This window comes from Homo sapiens, chromosome 17, assembly GCF_000001405.40.
Source record: "Homo sapiens chromosome 17, GRCh38.p14 Primary Assembly".
In the NCBI taxonomy this organism is placed as follows: domain Eukaryota; kingdom Metazoa; phylum Chordata; class Mammalia; order Primates; family Hominidae; genus Homo; species Homo sapiens.
Genome location: NC_000017.11, coordinates 8,908,740 through 8,927,121, shown reverse-complemented (window position 1 = coordinate 8,927,121; position 18,382 = coordinate 8,908,740). Strand labels below are relative to the sequence as shown.

The 18,382-nt window shown below is 47.0% G+C and overlaps 1 protein-coding gene across 14 annotated transcripts in view, besides 2 other annotated features; it reads left to right on the top strand.

The window, feature by feature from the left end:
* Positions 1 to 18,382, top strand: part of PIK3R5 (phosphoinositide-3-kinase regulatory subunit 5) — an 86,792-nt gene that overhangs the window by 38,586 nt on the left and 29,824 nt on the right. For 11 of the 14 annotated variants that reach the window (NM_001388397.1, NM_001251855.2, NM_001388400.1 and 8 more), the window contains exons 2-3: positions 15,615 to 15,730; positions 17,948 to 18,048. Coding sequence is in view for 6 of the 14 variants with exons in the window: in NM_001388396.1 (NP_001375325.1) it covers positions 15,628 to 15,730; positions 17,948 to 18,048 (204 nt within the window). In the remaining 8 variants the exon portion in view is untranslated. Of the gene's footprint in view, positions 1 to 13,774; positions 14,379 to 14,604; positions 14,659 to 15,614; positions 15,731 to 17,947; positions 18,049 to 18,382 lie in introns of those variants that run through there. The other 3 variants (XM_047435709.1, NM_014308.4, NM_001251852.2) reach the window with 3 other exon arrangements.
* Positions 10,729 to 10,798: a silencer, noted in NCBI's record as "silent region_8189". NCBI's record gives its function as "represses an Ori minimal core promoter by ATAC-STARR-seq in GM12878 lymphoblastoid cells {active_cell/tissue: GM12878}" and the evidence as "EXISTENCE:reporter gene assay evidence [ECO:0000049][PMID:35858748]".
* Positions 11,229 to 11,278: a silencer, noted in NCBI's record as "silent region_8188". NCBI's record gives its function as "represses an Ori minimal core promoter by ATAC-STARR-seq in GM12878 lymphoblastoid cells {active_cell/tissue: GM12878}" and the evidence as "EXISTENCE:reporter gene assay evidence [ECO:0000049][PMID:35858748]".

Genomic DNA, 18,382 nt, shown 5'->3' with positions numbered 1-18,382 from the left:
TCTATAAGGCAAAAAGAGAAGCCAGGGAACTCACCCATGCCATTCCTTGTCCCCAGGGTCCCTAGCCTGTGTGCCTTCTCTCTCTCTTTCAGGGTCTCTTATGTTAGTTTTATATATATTGTTCAGGGCTTGTAGTTGTATTTCAAATGGAATAGGGAAAAGCATATCTACTCCACTTACCCAGCACCATTTTTTAATTTATATATATATAACCTCTGTTATCTATGTGATAAAAAACAAGGCATAAAATATATATTATGAAAAATGTTTAATAAAAAATAAAAATTATTCCTATTTTTACCTCCCAGATATAATTTCTGTTAGCATTTGGACGTGTAACCATGTTGGGTAGTGACATGGTTTGGCTCCGTGTCCCCACCCAAATCTCATCTCCAATTGTACTCCCATAATTCCCATGTGTTGTGGGAGGGACCTGGTGGGAGATAATCTGAATCATGGGGGCAGTTTCCCCCATACTGTTCTTGTGGTAGTGAATAAGTCTCACGTGATTTGATGGTTCTATCAGGGGTTTTACTTTTGCATCTTCCTCATTTTTCTCTGGCTGCTGCCATGTAAGACGTGCCTTTTGCCTCCTGCTATGATTCTGAGGCCTCCCTAGCCGTGTGGAACTGTAAGTCCAATTAAACCTATTTTTCTTCCCAGTCTCAGGTATGTCTTTATCAGCAGCATGAAAATGGACTAATACGGGTAGTTTTTCTTTTGACATCGATATAGACATTTTTTTTCAAACTGGAAGAACCTTAGGGTTCTTTTGGATCCTGGGGCATTTCATAAACCCAGCTCTTCTGAGCAAAGCTTCCCAAAGCAGTTGCCTCTCTGTCACTTCTCTCTCCTTAGCCCATTCCATTTGGTCTTTTCTTCCTGCACTTGTTCTTTCATGGTCACTCAAACCCTCCATGTCACCAGATCCAGTGGCCACTTCTCTGCCCTCATGCTGTAGACCTTGCAGTGGCATTCCTCACTCCCTCCTTGAAACATGCTTGTTTTGGATCCTGTCACATCGTGTTCTCCTCCTGCTCATGAGCTGCATCTTCTCAGTGTCTTTTTGTGATACTTCCGGTGCCACCTCTTAACACTGGAGGTGTTCTCCTCACTCTTCTCGCTTCACATGGTTCACAGCCTCAGTGACCACAGCACCATGTGAACTCCCAAATAGAGAGCTGTAGCCCAGACCTCTCCATTGGGGTCTGAAGGGGATAGAACTCGGACAAAGCAGGACTCTTGTTTTCCTCTCCCAAATTGTCCTCTCCCCAAACTTCTCCATCTCAGTGAATGTGATGCATCTATCTGCATTAAAGGAAAAGACAAAAGGGGATGAAGCATCCAAGGAAAAAGTGCACACCCACTTGGGGACCAAAATGTACTCAGCCATGATGCAAGCTGTACCCACTTATTATAGAGATTTTGGCCTGAACCTAAGCCTGGATTTTCTTAATCCATTTCCATCTGATTTAGACATAATGTCAATCCCTCATTCTGGCTTGTCAGTGTTGGTTTCAGTTTGGATTGTATGCATGTGTGTTCCTTTTTTCTCTATCTATCTATCTATCCATCTACTATCTATCTACTATCTATCTATCTATCCATCTACTATCTATCCATCTACTATCTATCCATCTACTATCTATCTATCATCCATCTACTATCTATCCATCTACTATCTATCTCTCCATCTACTATCTACCTATCCATCTACTATCTCTCCATCTACTATCTATCTATCTATCCATCTACTATCTATCAATCCATCTATCTATCAATCTACTGTCTATCCATCTACTATCTATCCATCTACTATCTATCTATCTATCCATCTACTATCTATCATCTACTAGCTAACCATCTATCTATCTACCCATCTACTATCTATCTATCCATCTACTATCTATCTATCTATCCATCTACTTTCTGTCTATCTATCTACCCATCTATCCATCTACTATCTAGCTATCTATTCATCTACTATCTATCTATCCATCTACTATCTATCTATCCATCTACTTTCTATCTATCCACTATCTATCTATCCATCTATCCATCTACTATCTATCTATCTATTCATCTACTATCTATCTATCTATCCATCTACTATCTAACTATCTATCTGGTATATTTGGTGAGAAGTTGGGAGAGACTGCATCAGTGCCTGATGCCCTAATGTCATAGTAAGTTGTCCATTAGAGATCTAGAGAGTTCTAGACTGGGCTAAACGGGACTCTTGACATCAGCGTTTGTTTCATAAAAAGTTGTAAAAACCACACCTGGCCAAGTATCGGGAGGAGTGTCTGATTTCAGTTCTGTCCACAAACCTGATGAGTATCTGTTTTCTTGTTAGAGAGGTTTCGCTCTAAAGCATATTCATGAATGGGATGGAGGGGGAGAATTTGAGAGATTTTTCTTGCATAATTGGGCAGGAGTTCAAAGAGAGTAAAAAGGAGACTAGTGAAGATGTGCCCGTGTCTGAGAACAATGACCTGCTGTTGGATTAATGGAGAGAAGACGGGGTGGTAAATGGTTTATCACTCTGGAAGAGAAGAAAAGCTGTGCAAGGGAAAAGATAATGGATTGGACCAGTCTACCCCAAACTTATTCTGATAGTAAAGCATCTAGAAGTCACAGTGCTCTGGAAGGAGAAAAATCTTCCTTGCCCAAAACTATGAAATATTCATATCTGTCTTACAAACTAGAAATGATTCTACCTGTAGAAAGTGAGCAGCCTGTGTCAGGCTGCAGGTGGCTCACGCCTGTAATCCCAGCACTTTGGGAGGCTGAAGCCAGCAGATTGCTTGAGCTCAGGAGTTCAAGATCAGCCTGGCAACATGGTGAAACCCCACCTCTACAAAAAAAAAAAAAAATTAGCCAGGCATTGTGACATGTGCCTGTAGTTCCAGCTACTTGAGAGGCTGAGGCAGGAGGATCGCTTGAGCCCAGGAGGTCAAGGCTGCAGTGAGGTATGATCACACCACTGCACTCCAGCCTGGGAGGCAGAGCAAGACCCTGTCTTGAAAAGGAAAGGGAAGGGAAGGGGAAGGGAGGGGAGGGGGGGAGGGGAGGGGAGGGAAGGGAAGGGAAGGCTGCAATGTCACAACTGCAATCTTTTTCCACACCCAGAAGGCTGCAGTGAGGTATGATCACACCACTGCGCTCTGGCCTGGGAGGCAGAGCAAGACCCTGTCTTGAAAAGGGAAGGGAAGGGGAGGGGAGGGGAGGGGAGGGGAGGGGAAGGGAAGGGAAGGGTGCAATGTCACAACTGCAATCTTTTTCCACATCCAGAAAAACCAGAAAGCTGCCAATATATGTGTAATTGGCCTTTCTTGAGTTTTTACATTTACATTCATTTGCTGCTTTATTCTCCTGTGCACATTGTCTAACCATTAAGATGGGCTCCATATTTAAAGGTGGTAGGATTAAACAGTCTCCCGTGTAAGTGCCCAAGGTTTAGCCCAGGTGCCCAAAGAATTCGGTTGCTGCCTGGAGCTTATTGCTTGTTTTATTGTTATAGTCTTCCTCTGGTTTCCCAGCTTGGCAGTAATTTCAGTTTGCCCACCCCTGGCTCCAGTATAGCTGCTCTTACTTGCATGGGGAAGCTAAATTGCCTACAGCATACTTCATTTACCAGCTGAGAGAATACTCTGTACCGCAGTCTCCTCATCTGTAAAATGGGGGTAAGGAGTGTCTACCTCACATGGATTTAATGACTTAATTCATAGAAACACCTAGAACGGTGCCTGCCACATAGTAAGCTTTCAATTCCTATTAGCTGCTATTATTAAAATTATTATATGAAAAGGTGACATTGTACATCCTGTTGTCTTTTCGGTACTGTACCTGGGTAGAGTGGACCAGAGAGACCTTAGTTCGAATCCTCTCTGTGCTATCCGTATGTCCTTGGGAAAGTCTTTTAGCCAACAGGAGCTGAACTTCCTCATCTCTGCAAGTTCAGAGTGTCCTAGAGTGGCTCAAAATAAATGAGATCATGTGCTTCAAGCCCTAAGCATGGTATCTGGCCCAGGGTCAGTGCTGTGTACACGTTAGCATCTTTCTCCTTCCCCTCCTTCATCCTCATCCCATTTCTTCTTGGTCTTGACCACAACTGTGGTCTTCCCAGGCATTCCTGTGCCCCTTCCTTGGTAAAGAAGGGCTTGAGCAAAGATGGGGGGAAGTGGGCAGTCTTGCCTCTGCTTCTTCAGTGTTTCTTTCTTTTGGTACATCTCTACTTCATCTTCTGCCTTCCCTGGACCTCCACACCATGTCCACCTACCTTTTCACATTTCCTCCCTCTCCTGGCCCCAGAGTCCTTCTCCTGCCCACTAGCTACCGTCACTGCTGTAACAGACTCATCTGGTGGCTAAATCATCCTCCAAGAATCTTACATCTTGAAAAATAAGCTAGGACAGAGGAAGTGAACAGCCCTAACCCAAGGAGAATGAATCACCAACAATGGAAACTCAGCCAATTTTTATGCAAGACGTCTTCCCTGGAAGCCTCAAATTACAACACTGAGACGAAACAGTACACTCAGCCCTTTAAGTGTCTAGAAACCAGTAGAAATGACTTCCTATGAACACGACATAGGAAAGAACATGGGCTTTGAGAGTCACGCCAACTTTGCACAGACTTCAAGCTCGGGCCATAGGAATTGTGACCATAGGAACTTGAGTGAATAAATGGCTTACCCTCCCTGAGCTGCAGGAAATGTGAATAATTATGATAATGTCACAGGGTGATTATGATTATCAAACTAAGTAATCAATGTCTTGGGGATTAACTGAATGTTAATTCCCAAGACAATGGGGATTGATAATTTGATAATCAATTTGATAATCAATTATGATTATCAAACTAAGTGAAAGCGCCCAACATAGTACCTGACACAGATCAGCCACTCAATAATTACCTTCCTCCTTTTCTTCCTCCCTCCCTCCCTCCTTCTCTCCCACCCTCCCACCTTCCCTCCTTCCCTCCTTCTTTCCTATTCTCCAGGCTGAAACTCATGGAGAATGAACAAATCGGGTGGTTTGTTTTTGTTGTTGAGTTATACAGGAGTTCTTTATATATTCAAGATGGTAGCCCTTAATCAGATATACGATTTGCAAATATTTTCTTCCATAACATGGCTTGCCTTTTCACTCTGTTGATTGTATCCTTTAATGCACAGAGTTTTAAATTTTGATATTTAACTATTTTTTCTTTTGTTGCCTGTGCTTTTTGTGTTATATCCAAGAAATCTTTGACAAATCCAATGTGATGAAGCTTCCCCCAATTTTTCTTCTAAGAGTTTTATAGTTTTAGCACTTTACATTTAGATCTTTGATCCTTTTTGAATTAATTTTTTATGGTATTGAATCTTCCTAACACCAGAATATGTATTTCCATTTACTTTTGCTTTTTCGTGTCCCTCAAACATTTTCTTTATAAAAATATTGCATATTTTTAAAGTTTTTAAAAAAATTTGTATTACTTTTGTTGCTGTTAGAAGTGGAATCTTGTTTCCCCAACATAATTTATTTGCATAGTTAGATAATATTGATTTCTATATTAATTTGTGCCTAACCACTTTACCTAACTCTGTTCTTTGGTATGACCATTTTTCAGTTGATTTTCTTGGGTTTCTATGAACATTTCGAGGGTGAAAAATTATGAATTATGCCAATTCTATAATTGGCAAAGCTATAATTCATGAGCCAGAATGAATGACATATGACATGTAAAGTCTCAGAAAGTACCTCACCCACATATCTGTCCTGAAACTACTCGAAATACTTGAGTGAGCAAGACATGAACCAAAATAAAGGACTTATAAGTAGGAATGGTAGGGTACAAAACAAAACAGTGAGTAATAAAATAAATGAAACTTAAAGCCACTGTCCAAAAATACTGCTGTTATCACAGTTATTACATTTAATGTAAATGTCAAAAACATTGAAAGAACTATGAAGTAGTATAAAATATTTAATACAGGCCGGGTGCAGTGGCTCATGCCTGTAATCCCAGCACTTTGGGAGGCTGAGGCGGGTGGATCACCTGAGGTCAGGAGTTTGAGACCAACCTGACCAACATGGTGAAACCCGTCTCTACTAAAAGTACAAAAATTAGCCAGCCGTGGTGATGCATGCCTGTAATCCCAGCTACTCAGGAGGCTGAGGCAGGAGGATAGCTTGAACCTGGGAGGCAGAGGTTGCAGTGAGCCAAGATTGCGCCATTGCACTCCAGCCTGGGCAACTAGAGCGAAACTCCATCTCAAAAAAAAAAAAAAGAAAAAGAAAAAAGAAAAAAAAATACTTAATATACATATGGACCTGTATTTTAAAAGAAAACAAGTTACGTTAAAAGAAGGGCTAAAATTACAGAAGTAATTGTAAAAATTATATAGGAATTTCTGATTCTTGCTAATTAACTTTAAAATCTTGATTAAAGTGAATGATATTGTCAGAAAACCTAAATTTGCAAAGTTGACACATAAAGTTCAATACCTGAACAGACCAATAACTCTGGAAGAAATTTGAAAAGGGATTCCAAAAATAGCCTTGAGGAGAGCAGCTGAAGTCACTCACTGCTGGGCAGCAAGGAGAGTGCGATCCTCATCTATGCAGAGGGATGCATGATTATCCTTCGTTCCAGGCTCAGATTCTACTTACAGATTTACTGCCGTCTGATCTGGGCAAGTCCCTTCACCACTCAGAGCCTTTGTTTTCATATCTGTAGAGTGGGAATGTTGTACTAAATGGTACCTAAGGTGCCTTCCCAGTCTTAGAGTCAAATGTGTGTGTGTATGCATGTGTGTGTAAAATAAAAAGCATGACTTTCCAAGTCTAACTGTGCGTCAGAATCATGCAGGAGGTGTTTTATTTCTTGGCCTAGTTCTGAAGACATCAAGAGTTGGGCAGGTGAGATGTGTGTGTTAAGAAAGCACTCTGGGCCGGGCATGGTGGCTCACGCCTGTAATCCCAGCACTTTGGGAGGCCGAGGCAGGTGGATCACTTGAGGTCAGGAGTTCGAGATCAACCTGGCCACCATGGTGAAACCCTGTCTCTACTAAAAGTAGAATAATTAGCCTGGTATGGTGGTGCATGCCTGTAATCTCAGCTACTCGGGAGGCAAGAGAATCCCTTGAACCTCGGAGGCTGAGGTTGCAGTGAGCCGAGATCACGCCACTGCACTCCAGCCTGGGCAAAAGAGCGAGACTCCGTCCAAAAAAAAAAAAAAAAAAAAGAAGGAAAAAGAAAAAAAGAGAAAGAAAGAAAGAGAGAGAGAGAGAAGGAGAGGAGAGGAAGGAAACTCTGATAGGTAACAGAGAACATATATTGAATGTTTGTTATGCACTGGGAATGTTTCCACACATTTGTCTATGTTAACTCATTGTGCTTAACCTTGAGCTCTTGCAGATCCCAAGCACACACATGGTGTGCCCTGTCCTTTTAGGTGACACCAACACGGTATGACACAAATGCAAACTGGGCACGGAGATCTGGTAACATTTGGTCATGAGGTGGTCATCAAGATGTTCCAGAATATATTAACTATGAACTGTATCTAGACTGACATTAAAATGAAAACATAACTTGAACATTCTCAAAGACAGCCCTTAAATCCCCCACAGAGCCCCAGAAATTCTCAGCCCCAGTTTAGGAACTTCAGGTTGGGGGATTTTGAGGCAGCCAGCCTTGCGCTAGTCCACTGTGACTACAGAAGAAATAGCAATGTTCAAGAAGCTCATGTAAGGTAGGGAATCATTTGATAACTGCCTGGAAAGATACTGAAAGGGCATAAGGCTATGTAAATATATAAAAGGTCTTAGAGCCATGTCTACCATTCACTCAGCTTCCTCTAATTAACAACTTACATAAACATGGTGCAGTTATCAAAACCAGGAAATGGTCACTAACAGAGTACTATTAACTAAACGACAGACCTCATTTGAATCTTAGCATATTTTCCCCCTAATGTTCTCTTTCTGTTCTACAATTCAGTACAGGATCTCACATTGCATTTAGCCTTTGTGTCTCCTTAGTCTCTACCAATCTGTGATAGTCCTCTATCTTTCCTTATCTTTGATGACCTGAACACTTTGGTGAGGACTCACCATAGTGAATGTCTATGTGGTGAGTAATCACCATATAGAATGTCTCCAAACTGGGTTTTGAATGGTGTTTTCTCATGATTGTAGTTATGTGTTTTTGGCAAAAAAACAAAAACAAAAAAACACAAAGAAGTGACGTGTCCTTCCCTTCTCAGTGCATTACAGCAGGGGATACATGATGCTGATATGTATAGCTTATTGCTGGTCATGTTAACCTTGATCATATGGTTAATGTGCTGTCTGCTGGGTTCCTCCACTGAGAAGTTCTTGTTTTCCCCTTTATAAGTGGTAATTATTTGGGGGGAAATACTTTGAGGCTATACAAATATCCTATTTGTCCACAGATTTTCACTAACAGATTTTTAGCATTCATCAGTGGATCTACAATTATTACCATGGTGTTTGCCTAGTGACAATTTTCTATTTCTCTCATTCCTCTCACATTATTAATTGGAATTCTTTTGTAAAGAAGACCTGTCATTTCTCCTCCATTTATGTTTTTATTCAATTATCTATAACATTTAATTATCTATAATTATCTATAGACTTGTGGGTATTTATTTTATTCTATGAGTTATAATTCATCACTTTCTTTGTTCATTCAAATTGTCCTAGCTGTGGCCATTGGAAGCTCCTTCAGGTTAGACCCTATGTCCTTTTGACACTCCCCATGGTTTTTCAAATATTGACTTATTTTCTGGCACTACAAGATGTGCTGGGTTTATTTTGTATATTTCCTGTTTCAATCCTAGGATCAGCCATGTCTCCAAGGAGCTCTGTTTCCTTTTATTGGAAAATGGTATTTAGAAACCAAGATCTGGGCACTAGGTGTGCTTGTTGCTACTGGGATGTCATTGCCTCTGGGCTTTCTCTGTAGACAGAACTAGAAAATGTATGTATGTGTATTAATCCAAGCACATACATCTTTTTAAAATTTTTCTATATGTATTTATCTGTATATACATTAAAAACCATGAGTTCATACTGATTCTTTCAAGTCTGGTCCAACTCCACAAGGTTCATTCCAGCCTTCCCCCTTCTTTATTTGTCACATCTTTCTTTAGCTCTTATTATCTATGGTTTATTCACTTATTTGTCTAATGCTAGTGTACACATAAAGAACTTTCAGATTTCTTTCTTTTTTTTTCTTTTTTTGACATGGAGTCTTGCTGTGTCACCTAGGCTGGAGTGCAGTGGCACAATCTCAGCTCACTGCAACCTCCGCCTCCTGGGTACAAGCAATTCTTCTGTCTCAGCCACCCGAGTAGCTGGGACTACAGGCGCACACCACCACACCTGGCTAATTTTTGTATTTTTAATAGAGACAGGGTTTCACCATATTGGTCAGGCCGGTCTTGAACTCCTGAACTCAGGTGATCCACCCGCGTTGGCCTCCCAAAGTGCTGGGATTACAGGCATGAGTCACCATGCCCGGCCCCGAACTTTTAGAATTTTTAACTCACATTCATATGAGAAACATATTTAATAACTGGAAAACAGTATTTGTCTATAGTTTTTATTTTTGACTTTGACCAGTATCCAGTCAAAGTACCATTTTACAAAGTTACTGAAGTTAGTGCTTTCATTCCCTATCCCCGTCAGTGTGGTTATGTTAGTAATTGATTATACAGTTAGGTTAATTTGTTATTGCTTGTCTCCCACTTTTGGTCCCCTGCCCCCATATTCTGGTTGATTTCGATTATTTATTTAATTTTGGGTATGTAAAATATCGCCATGGTTCTAAGCGTTAAAGCTATACACACAGATAATCCTCAGAGAAGTGCTGTTCCTCCCTCATCTCCAGTTTCATTCCTTGATCCTATCCACCCTTTTCTCACCTCCACCTCCCATAGTAACTAACCAATCTCCTTAATTTCTGGTGTATCCTTCCTGTGTTGGGAAGAATTCTTTTACTTAGGTCACGGTGGAGATTCTGCCTTATGAAGGCATGAGGAAGGGACTGGGGCAGAGAAGGGAGAGTCAAGCCTCGGAAGGTAAGAAGCAGGAGAGGGAGGAGTCATCCAGGACGGAAGCAGGCTGGGTCAGCCCAGGACTGCATGGGCCTAGAATATTCCAGAACACCAGGAAAGCAGTGTGGAGAGCCAGCCAGAACCTGGAGGCCCCCTCCATATGAGATGCAGGCCCTCTAACTCCTCCTTTCATTACTATTTAGAAACCCCCAAGAGGCTCTCCTCCCTGCCCCATCGTGGGCTGCCTTGGGAAGCTGGACCCAGGCAGACCCTACACCTCCTCTGACCAGCCCTGCACCAGAGGGAAGATGAGCCCTCCACATCATGGCATCCTGTCAACATGGGAAGAAAAAGTGGAAGCAGGACTGGCTCTCTCTGTGCCCTCTGGGGTCCCACCAACCCACCCCGACTCCAGGCCTTTCTGCCCCATGCAGGGTCCCCAGCAAGGACTATGAGTCCTCTTTGCTGGCTCAGAAGAGGAACTTGGAGATGGGGGAAGGCCCTGTTGTTGGATATTTCAACACCACCTCACCACTGGCAGGGGAATTGGTGGCGGGGGCGGGGGGGCGGGGGGCGGCATTCCCGGCAGCAGCTGGAATTTTACAATGGGAGCTCCTCTCAACAAGATAGGGAGGGGGCTTGGGAGGGTGATGCCAGGGAAGCCAGGCCCTGCTTGCCCAGCTTTTGAAAAAAGGCGTCATGCTGGGAGAGCGGGTGCCACTGTCTTCCCCCCTCACCTCTGCCCCAAAGCCGTGAGGTTCTGCTGACAAGTCATAAGAAACAGCTGATGACTGACTCAGACGGAAATGAGCGTGTCAAAGGGGTGGGTGGTGAGCCCGGTGTGCTGGGTTAACCCCCAGGGCAGCTCAGCTGAGGGTCCCCTGGCTGGGTTCCCTCTCCCCATCTCTCAGGCTCCCAGGGGCTAGTGGCTCAGGCAAGTCCTGCCTCTGAGAAGAACTTGGGGCGAGCTCGAGAAAGCCTTGGAATGCCGGGGAGGCTGGCACACCAGAATTCCACCAGTGCCTGAGGATATCCTGCCCTTCCGTGGAGAAGGCTTTGATGTGTCCCTTGAGCAGGGTGGGGTTGGGGGGAAGGGGCACACCGAGGCCAGGAGATGGGAAAGTCACAGGCGGCCCCAGAATGAGAAAGAGAAGCCATGGGCAGTCAGGCATTGGGTGCGGTGTGCTAGCAGCAGTCCTATGGCACTGTGTTCTGCCCCCTTAAGGACAGGAGTGTGCAGAAGTGGTGTTGGCTGAGAACATTCATTTGCATCTTGTGTTTGCATCCATTACAGTGTGGGACACGTAATGAGTGAGCAGGATGACTCACTCCTGCTTCATGGCATAACCAGCTTGGCCATCGCAGCAGGGGCTGGGCAGAGGGGTCTTAAAACCCAGATCACACGGTTCAGGACATGCTCCAGGCTAGAGACGCCTGGGCCCCGTGAGCCACCACGGTCATCACCGGTGGAGTCCGAGAGAGTGTTGCTCGGTATCCCCTCTGGCACACACTCCTGTGAGCCTTGGCCTTTTCTCTGGAGGATGCAGGGCTGTGCGGGGCAGCTGGTGTAGATAGATGTGGTGGGGCTCACAATCCCCAGCAACTGAGAGTCTAGATTTTCTTTTTTTTTTTTTTTTGAGACAGAGTCTTGCTCTGTCACCCAGGCTGGCATGATCTTGGCTCACCGCAACCTCCACCTCCCGGGTTCAAGCCATTCTCATGCCTCAGCCTCCCGAGTAGCTGTGATTACAGGTGTGCACCACCACACCCAGCTAATTTTTTGTATTTTTAGTAGAGACAGGGTTTCCCCATGTTGGCCAGGCTGGTCTCAAACTCCTGACCTCAGGTGATCCACCCGCCTCAGCCTCCCAAATTGCTGGGATTACAGACATGCCTAGCCTACCTCTTAAAGCAAAATCAAGTCTTCACTTGTTGAAGTAGAAACATGAATTGGTTTTAATTTTCTTCCAGTAACTGCCTCCGACTGTGCTGAGGGGCAATGTATTCTAGTGGTTGAAACCCCAGACCCCCTGGGTTTATACCCTGGCTTTGCCATCTCCTAGCTGTGTGACTTTAGGCAAGCTGTTTAACCTCTCTGTGCCACCAATTTCCCATCTTTAACCTGCCCCATCCAGCTTCCTACAAAATTGGTCCAGCCTTCAGCCTCCTTCTGATAGGTTTCCCTCATGCTGCTGGCAGCCCTCTAGAAAAGTAACAACAAACCGGCTCAGGCCCCACGTTTGTTCCACCCCTCACCCCAATCTGGAGCTGCTGACTTGTCCAACAGTGGGTCTGCAAGATGCCCCCTCTGCCCCTTGTCTCAGCCCTGCCATGGCTCACAGGCAGCACCGGAGCAGGCGAGCGAGTTTGCCGGCTGAGTAGATAGTGACCCGAGGAACAAAGGGCAGCATCCTCAGCTTTGGGCATCCCAGTCTGTGTCAGGACTTCTCTGAAAGCCCTCTGCCCTCAGCTTTGCGGAGAGAAGGAAGGATCTTCCAGATGGGCTGACAACCCTTTTTCTCTTCCCAATCTTATGACAGGGATTGGCGGGTCACTGTGCTGGTTCTGGACTGACACCTCCCAGCAAGCCCACCAGAGTGGCTGCGCCCACGTCCTTGACAATACTCCGTGGCTCTTAGAACTTTAGAATGCAGAGGATTTAGCAACTTTTGTCCCTAGAATTGGGTCTCAGCCACAATTTGAAAATAAAAAGTCCTCCCTGATCCCCTTGTCTGTTTATACCAGTGTCAACTCTCTCCCAGCTGCCTCGAACAAGTCCCTTATCCTTCCTGGACCTCAGCCTCCCCTTCTGTAAAATGAGGGACTTGCTGGGGAGGCCTCTGAGCTCCCTCCAAGAACCTGCTCTGGGGGTAACCTGGGAGAAATCAGCCTGTGAGAACAAAGGGTCGCTGTCACATCTGGGCCAGCTGTTCATGCCCCAGGCTCATCCATGTGAAGGTGTCTGGTGTTCTACCTCCTCCAGCAGGTGCCGTTAGCCCTGAGCTGGAATAGGACCCACCTCCAGAGGGTCTTGTGGTCGGGCTGCCATGGGAGGCAGAAAGATGAGGCCTCATCACAGGTGTCAGTCCCCACAGATGCTCATCCATGCCAGGTGCCAGCACAATCCCAGGTCAGGGAGGGGTCTGCCCGGTCTGGCTCAGGGTCAGTGGACTCACGACCTGAGCTACCTGTGGAGGTGTTAAACAGAAGATCCAAAGGCAACTGTAAAAGTCACATGGAAGGGCCTCAGGATGTCTTTGGGCATCCAGGTGCTGCTAATGGACACACCCAAGGTCTTGAGTCACCAATGAAAGGTTTTCTTCTTTTTGTTTTCTTTTTGAGATGGAATCTCGCTCTGTCACCCAGGCTGGGGTGCAGCGGTGTGATCTCGACTTACTGCAACCTCCGCCTCCCGGGTTCAAGCGAGTCTCCTGCCTCAGCCTCCCGGGTAACTGGGATTACAGGTGCCTGCCACCACGCCTGGCTAATGTTTTAAAATATTTTTTAGTAGAGATGGGGTTTCAAGATGTTGGCCAGGCTGGATTCGAAATCCTGACCTCAAGTGATCCGCCCACCTTGGCCTCCCAAAGTGCTGGGATTACGGGCATGAGCCACCGCACCCAGCCACCCGTGAAAAGTTTTCTGAACTCAGCTCTTCACCTCCACAGCCAGAAGGCATGGGACCTAATGGGTTAGTCTTTGTCCTGGGCCAGCCCGGCGCCCTGGCATATACTCCTGGGTCCAGGTTCTCAGCAAGCTAATTCCTGCACCCAGACTGTGGCATGGGCTGGCTCCCCTTTCTCCAATACTCTTCCCCCTCATTTGCCCTGGCTTCCTCATCCAGCTTAAATGTCCCTTCTTCAGAGAGGCCTCCCTGACCCCCCAACACCCTGGAGGGGGGTCCCCACTTGTCCCACTCCCAGCACCATCCTTTACAGCATGTTTCACTTCTTGGAATCACGTCTTTGTTTGCTCCATTGCTCAGTGTCTGTGTCTCCCACCAAGGAGCACAGCTGCTTGGTTCACTGCTGTCTCCTCTAGTCTCCTCTAGTGCCTGGCACATGGCAGACAGTCAGTGAACCCGTGATGGAACCAAGGTGCGTGTGCCGCTTCCTGCGTGCCCACTGCTGCACTGTCCGGCTTTGGAATGCATAGCCTACCACAGACACTGTGAAAGGATGCTGGAGAGCTCACAAAGGGCTTAGTTTTCACTTGGCGAGTGGTGCCTCCCAGGCTGGGGAGGCAGGAGGATTTGCCTGTGTGGGGCCTCCGTAAGCTGAATACTCTAGCCGCGCAGCTGAACCCAGGTTAGGATTTTATCCCTCTTTGTATGTCATCTGCATGGCTCAGCTCTGAGCTCTGTGCTTCCTCTTCTGGCTTCCAGAGCTGAACTGCAGCTTTCTCAGCATCCCTCTATGGCCTGGCCTGACTGGCCAGTGAAGGGGTCTGCCCGGAAGGAGTGAGTGCAGTGGCATCCCCTGAGGCCAGGGCGATGATGGCAATGACTGTAGCAGGGCAGCTCTCGCGTGTTGGAAGCTTACTCAGCGCATCTGCTACAGCATTTTATCTTCCCAAGAGCCCCATGAGGTTAGCACCATTGTCATCCCATTTTACAGATAAGTCAACAGAAGTTTGGAAAAGTTAAAGTATTTGCCCAAAGTCACATGGCTAGCAAATATCAGAGTCCAGGTTTGAGTGTAAGTCCGTCGGATGCCAGAGCCAAGCTTAATCACTGGGCCAAATCACCTTCCGTGGCTTCCCCAGAGACCCAGGAGCCCTCATACATAACTAAGAAGCTGGGCTGGCCCTGCTGGGGGCTCTCAGTTCCCCATACGGGGCTAAAACCCTCCTGAAATTCCCTCTTCAGTGACTTTCCAGCTCAGCTAAGCACCCCTTGGATTCTCCTCAGTAGGATGAGGAAGGAGGGCAGGGAAGGTCTTTGAATGACAGGTAACATTGCCAAGCCCCAGGGGAAGGAAAGAAAAATGGCAAAAGTGGAGGTTAGGGCAGAAAGGAAACAGATGCCTGTGACCTGGGCACCCAATCAGAGGGAGCTCCCTCCAAGCATATTGAGGGAGTTGCTGTGGCCTTGTCATCAGGAACACGCTCTCTGCCCCATCCCTGGAGGTTTGGAAAACACAGCCTGGAAATTCAGAAAAAGTCCTCCGAGTGATTCTGATTTTCCCCTCAGGATCTTCCTGCCCAGCCCACTGGGGTCTGACCACTCCCTGGGTACTTGGCGACACTTCCCACTGCCCAGTGCCCTTTCCACCTCTCTGCTCCCATTCCTGACCCCTTACTTCCCACACCTCTGTCCCGTTCTGCTGCAGGGGTGCTCTGTCCTGCCACTCAGATGTGGCCCTCCAGATGCCATTCCTACCCTGGAGGCAGCTGTAAGGCCCCTGGTCCTGTTTCCACAGCACCTGAGCTATAGCTGGGCTGGGCTGATCGCGCTGCACTGTGAGCACCTGTTGTCTTTACTGGACCAGGTGCTCTCTGGGAAAGGAGCTCGACAAGCTGACCGGCGTCTGTCCCCCATGCAGGCGATGACCCAGGATGCAGCCAGGGGCCACGACATGCACGGAGGACCGCATCCAGCATGCCCTGGAACGCTGCCTGCATGGACTCAGCCTCAGCCGCCGCTCCACCTCCTGGTCAGGTCGGTCCAAGGGAGCCGGGGAGGTGTTTGAGGGCTCAAGGAAGCCTCAGGGGCCACGGTGGGCACTGGACCAGGCATGGAAACTGGCAAATTCTAGGTGAAACCCTGTCTGTGTGACTTGGGCAAGCCTCAGCCTTCTCCTGGGCAGGTGCCTGGCGCAGCACTTGATGTAGTCAGACCTCAGTGTCTGGCACTTTCTCCCTTCTCCCACGGCATCTTCCTCATCCTACTCAGGGCTGGCTGCCTTTTACTTCTGGAAGAATCCATCGAATCTGCTTAGAAAACCACAACTGCTGATTCTGAAAAAGCAGCTGGGAATTCACAGGCAGCTCTCCCCAGAATTCTCCTGTTTGTTTGTTTCTAGTTCCCTCATAGTCCTATCCTCCTCTTCCCTATAGAATAAGGGAAAACTCAGCAGAGCTGCAGAGAGCAGGAGGCCTCTATGTTTCCCACCTCCCAGGACTAAAAAACAGGGTGTCCGCAGTCCCGGGCAGTTGCGTCTCTGAAGGCTGGCGCCTGGCTGTAATAATTCTTATGCTTGTAGAGCTTTCTCATGCCCCATATCTCACTGGCCTCCCTAACTTCTCCGTGAGTAGCCACCCAGTGCTCCTTGAACATACCTGGTCCCTCCGTACCTCAGCACCTTTGCACCTGCTGCCTGGAACTCTTCCCTGGGAAGTACACATAGCTGGCTCCTTCTCATCCAGGTCTCAGCTCAAATGTCGCTTCCTCTGAGAGGCTGTCCTTGGCCTTTGGAATGAGACAGACCTGGATTAAAGCTATCTCCCATTGGCTTTACAACCCTGCGCAGGCCACTTATCCTCCCAGGACCCTGGCTCTACTTGCCTTGTCTGCAAAATGGGAATAATAACAATGGAACCACTTTTCTGAAGGGACAGTGGGATCCTCAATGAAGATAATGTATTCAGAGGCCTAGCACTGTATTGGCACATAGTAGGTGGTCAATAAATGGTAGTTTTCTTTCTTGCCTGCTACCCAGGTTTTGATGGAGGCTAAGCTCATAGGGCTGGGGAGAGGGCTATCGTTAAGCAAAAGAATATAAAAATATCTGACCTTTGCAAATTTTCTGACAACCTGTGACCACATGGACACATTGTTAGAAGCCTCTAGAACTTTGGAAGGAGCCTGTACACGTGAGAGGTCCTGGAGCTTGAGCTCCACGAAGTTCAAGTTCAATCCATTTCCACTCCTGCGGCTCTCACTCCCCACTCCACACACACATACACACAGCCCCTCCCTGCTCCTCTGCCCCAGGCTGTCGCTTTAATTTTTAGGGGTTTACCCTTGCTGACTGCAGGGAAACAGAGACTGACAAAATAAGAAAGTCTGGGGAAGTTACAGAGTGACAAAGTGCTCATGGCAGCTTTTAAAATAGAACTCGTTTAGCTTCCCCTTCCTGGGCTCCATTGCCATTCCTGGGAAGCTCCATGGCTGCTGTAGACTCAGTCTTGCGTCTTGGGATGGAACTCACCGTGGCTCCTCTCTGTATTCTTCCAGCAATTTCTGCCTCTGTTCTAACCTCCCTGCAACTCATAGGTACCAGAACCCACTGTAGGAAACCAGGGCAGGAGAGGTTGTGGGAGAACTGGTGCTTCCACAGGGAGCGGAGTCATAGTGAGCTCATTGTCCTCTAAAGGGCTTCCCAGCCTGCATCTCCAATCCCTGTGTCTCTTGCATATGCAGGAACAGGGAATTTGTCATTATGTCTTGATGGGGCATGGTAGGGTTGAGTGTTGATCCAGCATCTTCTCCTAGATTCACTTACTTTAGAAAGGAGTGTTCCAGGCCGGGTGCAGTGGCTCACGCCTATAATCCCAGCACTTTGGGAGTCCGAGGCGGGCGGATCACGAGGTCAGGAGATCGAGACCATCTTGGCCAACATGGTGAAACCCCATCTCTACTAAAATACAAAAATTAGCTGGGTGCGGTGGCACGTGCCTGTAATCCCAGCTACTTGGGAGGCTGAGGCAGGGGAATCGCTTGAACCCGGGAGGCAGAGGTTGCAGTGAGCTGAGATCGCACCACTGCACTCCAGCCTGGCGACAGAGCAAGACTCTGTCTCAAAAAAAAAAAAGAGTGTTCCAGTGCAATACCACAGAAAAATGTTCCAGCATAAATGCCCCTTCTTTACAGCCCCTGCCTGAGTGTGACTGGAAGACACCAGAACTGACCCCTTGCCTCTCTCTCCTTTTCCAGCTGGGCTGTGTCTGAACTGCTGGAGCCTGCAGGAGCTGGTCAGCAGGGACCCGGGCCACTTCCTTATCCTCCTTGAGCAGATCCTGCAGAAGACCCGAGAGGTGAGGGGGAGTCAGGAATTGAAGGGCAGATCTGGGGTCGGCCTCGTAGAGTGGAGAAATAGGTCCCAGAGAACATCATTCCTGGGTGCCTGGACCTCCAGAGGGGCTGGGCAAAGGCCCTGGGAACCTGTGAGTTTTGTGTTTCGGTAGCACTTGCATATGAGAGGTTTCTAAGAAGGGGGTGCATTCAGTAAGAACACATCATACGCGAGCTAGGGTCCTGAGTTCAGCTACAGACATGGCTTATAAGTCCAGATATAGACTAGGAAGGGAGAAGACACTTTACCCAATTCCTTTCCTCAAAAAGATCCATAAAAACAAAGACAGGAAAGAG